Genomic DNA, 7,054 nt, shown 5'->3' with positions numbered 1-7,054 from the left:
GGAGAGGGGTGCACCTGGGGGACTCGGAGTCTCTGCCTGTCTGCTACCTATTTACCTGCCTGTCACTTGTCCTGTGCAAGTGGAGGCGCTGTGATTCCCCAGGACTCATCCAGTCCCTTTCTTTTCGCAGTTTCTGTTCTTCCGTGCCCAGCCTGGTGGGATCTGTGTAGGGACTTCGTGGAAGGGTTATTTCCAAGGTGTCTGATGTGTGGCTTGGCACTCAGAGAAGTCGGGGGTCTCCAGCCCCCCACTCTCCACAACCTGCCTGACATTCTAACTACGCATATTAAAGCTGCAGGTAGCCCTAGGGAACCTTAACAGCAACCTTCTCAACCCCCGCACGCACACACACACACACACACACCCATCGACACACACACACACACACACAGACCCATCGACACACACACACACACACCCATCGACACACACACACACACACCTTCTTTCATAAAACAAAACCATCGAGAGGTAAGATGACTTGTCCAAGGTCACTTGATCTATTTTTTGTTTTTTCTTATCGCGTAATGTTTAGACTGTGCTTGGTCTTTCTGGGCACAATCCCATGAAGATAAGAAGCTATCTTTATTGTGCCTGATGACATTCTGACCTCGGAGTAAAAACGGAACAAAACAAAAATAAAACTGTTCAGGTGAAAGTCTGACCTTGCTTTTACTGATGCGAGCATTACATTTCTTTTAACCTAAATTAACATTAGGGACTGACAAGGAGTAGTACAGAGTTCAGCAAAAAGAATCTGTGCTAGCAAAGACAGCAGTGCGGCCTGAGCTCCTCCTGCCTGGCCTCTGCATCTGATTTTATTTTCTTTTACTTTTTTTTTTTCTTTGACAGAGTTTTGCTCTTGTTGCCCAGGCTGGAGTGCAATGGCGCTATCTCGGCCCACTGCAACCTCCGTCGCCCGGGTTCAAGTGATTCTTGTGTCTCAGCCTCCCGAGTAGCTGGGATTACAGGCGCCCACCACCACGCCCAGCTAATTTTTGTATTTTTAGTAGAGACGGGGTTTCACTAAGTTGGCCAAGCTGGTCTCGAACTCCTGACCTCAGGCGATCCACCTGCCTCGGCCTCCCAAAGTGCTGGGATTACAAGCGTGAGCCACCACCCCCGGCCTCTGCTTCTAATTTTCTTAAGAACAAACATCCAGGCCGCGCGTGGTGGCTCACGCCTGTAATCCCAGCACTTTGGGAGGCAAAGGCGGTCAGATCATGAGGTCAGGAGATGGAGACCATCCTGGCTACCGCGGTGAAACCCCGTCTCTACTAAAAATACAAAAAAAAAATCGCCGGGTGTGGTGGCAGGTGCCTGTAGTCCCAGCTACTCGGGAGGCTGAGGCAGGAGAATCGCTTGAACCCAGGAGGTGGAGGTTGCAGTGAGCGGAAATCATGTCACTGCACTCCAGCCTGGGTGCCAGAGTAAGACTCCACCAAAAACAAAACAAGACAAAACAAAAAACAACATCCAAAGGGACAGGCAACTTACACTGAAAACTGCAGGCTGGCAAGAATCTACACTAAATGTAGCTTCAGGTAGGATTCTTTACCTGTCTCTTCTGGGCCCTCAAAAAATTTTTCTGATAAGAAATGAATCTTTATCAGGAAGATGAATCAAAATAAAATTTTCTAAATTGTTGAGCTAAGCTTCAGAGTGGGAGAGGTTTTCTCAGTGGATCTTCATTGCTGCTGAGGATAAATCTTAAAGCTGGGGCTAATCCTAGGACTGGATTTGTCAAAAACTTGTCACTATGCTTCAGTAAATCTTCTGTCTATGATAACACCTTGAGGACCTAACCAGAATTGAAAGGAACTTAAAAGGAAAATGTGGTTTTTTTCAATCCCCAAACTTCAAGATAAATAGAAAACATTTTGGGTTTTTTTGCTCTGACTTAGGTGGGAATAGAAAGAGTAGATAAAGGTTATTTTTAATTTTTAAGAAGCAGAGTATGTTATATATAGAATATTTGCCTTGATCACTGAAGAGTGACCAAATGTCCCACCCTGACTTTGTGCAGCCCCATCATGAAACAGAGTTGTTGCTGCTCTTTCTATGTTTATCTTCCAATAACCAAACTGCCCTGACAGCTTTGTAGGTGTGTGAAATATACCTCAGTTGGTGCACCTTGAAGATCACAGCATAGACTGCAAGGAGCAGTAGGTGAATATTTCACAGCAACTTGTGTTGTCTCTTTGATGTCTTGGTTAATTCCCCTGATCTGACTGCCTCTTGGAATGTTGGGGAGATCAGTAGGTTGGCATTGGCCAGAGTCAGACCTAAATCCCATCTCTGAGGTCTTCAAGGGAAATATATGCACAAAGGACAAAAGCTAGCAAATGGACAGTATTTATTATTATGCTTAGAATCCAGTGCCGATGTGGATCACCCTGTGACCCAGGCTTGGCTTGGAGACATCCTTTCACCCTTGCCAGAGGCAGCCTAGGTTAGAACCAAAGGAGATAAAGAAGCCTGTGAGGAGAAACAGCAAACGCAAAAGGCACCGCAACCAGGACAGTCAGGGAAATGTGCTCTGTCTGTGAAAGCAAGAACTCCTCAACAAAGAGAGTTTGCCTCAATTCTTAGAGCCACGACCCTACGCGTTCACAAGACAGGTAGAAAGGCAGCCTGCAGCCCCCAGTAGGAGCCACACCAAGTCCCTAGCACTGTGGGTCGATGAGTGTCATTGAACTTAACTAAGCCAGAGCAGCCCTTTCCTCCTGGAGGAGGAAGTGAAGGGAAAGGGAGAATTCTTTTTCTTTCCCTGAAAGGCAGCTGTCGTCATCCTCTCATTATTCTGTGTGCCCCTCTCCTTATGCAATAAGTTGAGCCAAGACAGACTGATCTCCCAGGAGAGGATCCGACCCTCCAGTGCTGTGACGGCACAGAGGCTGCCTCTCCCTTTCCCGGTGATTCCCAAGGAAGGAGAGGCCAGATCGCTTCTCTTGGCAGCCCACTCCAGTGTTCAAGAACTAGTGTTTTGAAGCAGTTTGTCCTCTGAACATCTTAAATTTCTACTATTTTAACTTAAGCCTATCCTTCCTTTTTAGTCTTCATGGTCCTAGAAAACAGTCAGTTGGCATCCTTCTCAAGAAGTTCTTTTATACAAACGAAGACTTCAAGCCATCTCTTAAGCCCTTCTTTTCCTCAAACTAAAAAAGCCCCATTTCCTTTTTAAAATGCTTATGTGTGCGTCTTTACCTTTTATATCTGTATACATATATGTATATATGTGTAAACATTTTATCACTTTTTTATTTGAGACAGAGTCTCACCCTTTTGCCCAGGATGGAGTATACTGGTGTGAACATGGCTAACTGAAGCCTCAACCTCCTAGGCTCAAGCAATTCTCCTCCATTAGCCTCCCAAATAGCTGGGACCACAGGCACGTGCCACCACACCCAGCTACTTTTTGTATTTTTTGTAGAGACAGGATTTCACCATGTTGCCCAGGCTGGTCTCAAATTCCTGAACTCAAACCATCCTCCTGCCTCACCTTCCCCAAGTGCTGGGATTACAGACATGAGCCACCGCATCTGTCTACATAAACACTTTAAAAAGAAAATGGCATATAAGTAGCATGTTAAAAATTATACGTAAGCATGTACCAATCATCCTTGTACCTGTTCTCCTGTTTAGGAAACAAAGCAGTATAGGCCTGTTGAAAGCCATTTGTGTACTCACCCCTAATCCCTTTCCTTTCCCTCTGTCCGCAGACCAGTATCTTCATAGGATCTCTTTCCTCTCTCTTGATTATTATCTAAAAACTAACAACTAAAAGAGACACCCCGACAGCATTGGGCAAAGGATCCGGGAAGGGAGATGATTTAATGGAAATCTTTCTTCTTCGTCTTCTTTTTTTTTTGAGATGGAGTCTCGCTCTGTCACCCAGGCTGGAGTGCAGTGGCGCGATCTCAGCTCACTGCAATCTCCGCCTCCTGGGTTCAAGCAATTCTCCTGCCTCAGCCCCCTGAGTAGCTGGGACTACAGGCACGCGCCATCATGCCCGGCTAATTTTTGTATTTTTAGCAGAGACAGGGTTTCACCATGTTGGCCAGGATGGTCTCAATCTCTTGACCTCGTGATCCACCCACCTCGGACTCCCAAAGTGCTGGGATTACAGGCATGAGCCACTGTGCCCGGCCAGAAATCTTTATTCTTTTATGAGGTTCTTATTAGGCATTCTGTAAATGCATTTTGATGACTCTTAACTCTTCTCATAATTCTTCTCATTTTACACATTGTTTTTAGAGAGCAATGTCCCAAACGAGACTTGGAAGAACTATTTAGAACTCTGAATCTCTGTCTTCCTAACAACAAATGAGGCAGTTGCCCCAGACCCCCTCCCCCAAAATTATTTCACTAATTCATTAACATCATGTCTGGCATTTGATGCTGGCTGACAGCTGGAACCTTAGCTGGGGCTGTCAGGTGGTCACCTGGTATACCTACCTGTGGCCTTTCTGCCTGGACTGCCTCACATCCCAAGGGTGGACATCCCAAGAGACAGTGCCAGGCAGAAGCTGTATCACATAGTCTAACCTAGCCTTGGAAATCACGCAGCATCGCCCCCACCACCTGTTTGTTAAGGCCGTCACAAAGGCCTGGTCAGGCCAAGGGGAAAGGAAATAGACTCCATCTCTTGATGGGACAATGACAAGATTCTGGAAGAATGTGAGAGCTGGAAACATTGTAGCCATTTCTAGAAATATGATTTATCAAAGCTGGCAAGGAGCATTTCAATTTTAATAAAGTTTGTTTATAATTGCACCATAATCACATACTATTTATGGAAAAATTAATGAAAGAGGTATAAGACCTCCACACTGAAAACAAGGCATTTGGATTCCCAAAGAACAACATTGAAGGACTTAATGCTACTTGATTTCAAGCCTTCCTATGATACCATTACCAATCAAACAGTGTGTTGTAGGCATATGAATAGACAAATAGATCATTGAAACAGAATAGAGTCCAAAAATAGATCCACACATGTACGGTTAACTAATTTTGACAAAGGCACTAAGGCCATTCAATAGAGAAAAGATAGCCTTTTCAATAAATGGTGCCGTAACAGTTTATACCCATGTAGGAAAAAAAAAAAAAGCTTTGATCCCTTAACCACACACCATAATTAACTAAAAATCAATCATAAACTTAAATGTAAAAAGCTAAGCACCTAAAGCTTCTAGAAGGAGGCCAGGCGAGGTGGCTCACGCCTGAAATCCCAGCACTTTGGGTGGCCAAGGCAGGTGGATCACCTGAGGTCAGAAGTTCAAAACCAGCCTGGCCAACACGGCAAAACCCCGTCTCTATTAAAAATACAAAAATTAGCCAGGTGTGATGGCAGGCACCTGTAATCCCAGTTACTCGGGAGGCTGAAACAAGAGAATCACTTGAAACCAGGAGGCAGAGGTTACAGTGAGCCAAGATGGCACCACTGCACTCCAGCCTGGGCGACAGAGCAAGACTCCGTCTCAAAAATAATAAAAAAAAAGGAACAAGTGCTAAATCATAAAATAAGCCTCAAAAACATTAAAGTAATATTTGAAACATATTCTAGAACAATTTAACTAAGTTAGAAATCAGTAACAAGCGCGGCCGCGCGACCTCATCGAGGGGAGAGGCAGCCGCCGGGATGGAAGTGTTCCTCACCATCCGGCGCCACAAGACCAGCATCTTCACGGACGCCAAGGAGTCCAGCGCGGTGTTCGAGCTGAAGCGCATCGTTGAGGCCATCCTCAAGCTGCTGCCAGATGAGCAGTGGCTGTGCTAGGACGACCAACTCTTGGATGATGGCAAGACACTGGGTGAGTGTGGCTTCACCAGCCAAACAGCACGGCCACAGGCCCCAGCCACAGTGGGGCTCGCCTTCCGCGCAGACGACAGCTTTGAGACCCTGTGCATCGAGCCGTTTTCCAGCCCGCCTGAGCTGCCCGACGTGATGAAGCCCCAGGACTCGGGAAGCAGTGCCAATGAACAAGCCGTGCAGTGAGGACGCCCGAGTTCCCCCCAATAGAAGAGATTTGGGGGGGAAAGAAACCAATAACAAAATAAATACATGTATTTTAAAGAACACGGTTGGGAAATAACTCTAAATAACCCCTTCTAAATAACTCATGAATCAAAAAAATCAGGCTAAAAATTAAGAAATACTTAGAAGTAAGCATTTATAAATATAAGATATCAAACTTGTGGCCTAATGCTCAATTGATACAAGGAGGTAAATTTTAAAACCTCATCTTTATATTAGAAAAAAAGAAATTTAATACAATTATTAGCTAAATGTGCATTCTTAGAAATTAGAAAAAGGGCAATAGATTAAACCCAAAGCAGACAGAAGATACTAAATATGAGAACAGAAATCAATGAAATAGGAAGAAAAGACACAATACAGAGAATCAACAAGGTCTAAAGTTTACTATTTGAAAAGACTAATAGAATAGATAAAACGCTGGTGGGACCTGGGGAGAGAGAATGAAAGAAGGTAGCTTATAAAAAAGGAAATACATTATGACCAATTTGGGCTTGTCCTAAGAATGCAAGGGTAGTTTAACAGAAAATAAATTCATGCAATTTACCACGTTAATGGATTAAAGGAGAAACTTATCTCAATGGTTTGCTTGAGAAGCAAGAAAGACACAACATTTTCATGTTTAAAAAAAAATGTATTTGGCAAACTAGGAATACAAGAAAACTGCCTCAACTACATAAAGAGAATATTTAAAAATATAACTCTTACTGGCCAGGCGTGGTGGCTCACGCCTGTAATCCCAGCACTTTAGGAGGCTGAGGCAGGCGGATCACGAGATCAGGAGTTCAAGACCATCCTGGCCAACATGGCGAAACCCCGTCTCTACTAAAATACAAAAAAAAAAAATTAGCCAGGCATGGTGGCGCGCGCCTGTAGTCCCAGCTGCTCCAGAGGCTGAGGTGGGAGAATCACTTCTGGAAGGGAGAGGTTTCAGTGAGTTGAGATGATGCCACTGCACCCCAGCCTGGCAACACAGCAAGACTCTATCTCAACAATAACAACAACAAATATATT

The 7,054-nt window shown here is 44.6% G+C and overlaps 1 pseudogene; it reads left to right on the top strand.

Annotated features, from left to right (window-relative positions):
• Window positions 5,604-5,997, top strand: ELOBP1 (elongin B pseudogene 1; annotated as a pseudogene).

This window comes from Homo sapiens, chromosome 13, assembly GCF_000001405.40.
Source record: "Homo sapiens chromosome 13, GRCh38.p14 Primary Assembly".
NCBI classification, from domain to species: Eukaryota; Metazoa; Chordata; class Mammalia; order Primates; family Hominidae; genus Homo; species Homo sapiens.
Note: the sequence above shows the minus strand (reverse complement) of the source record. Positions and strands in the feature narration are given on the sequence as shown.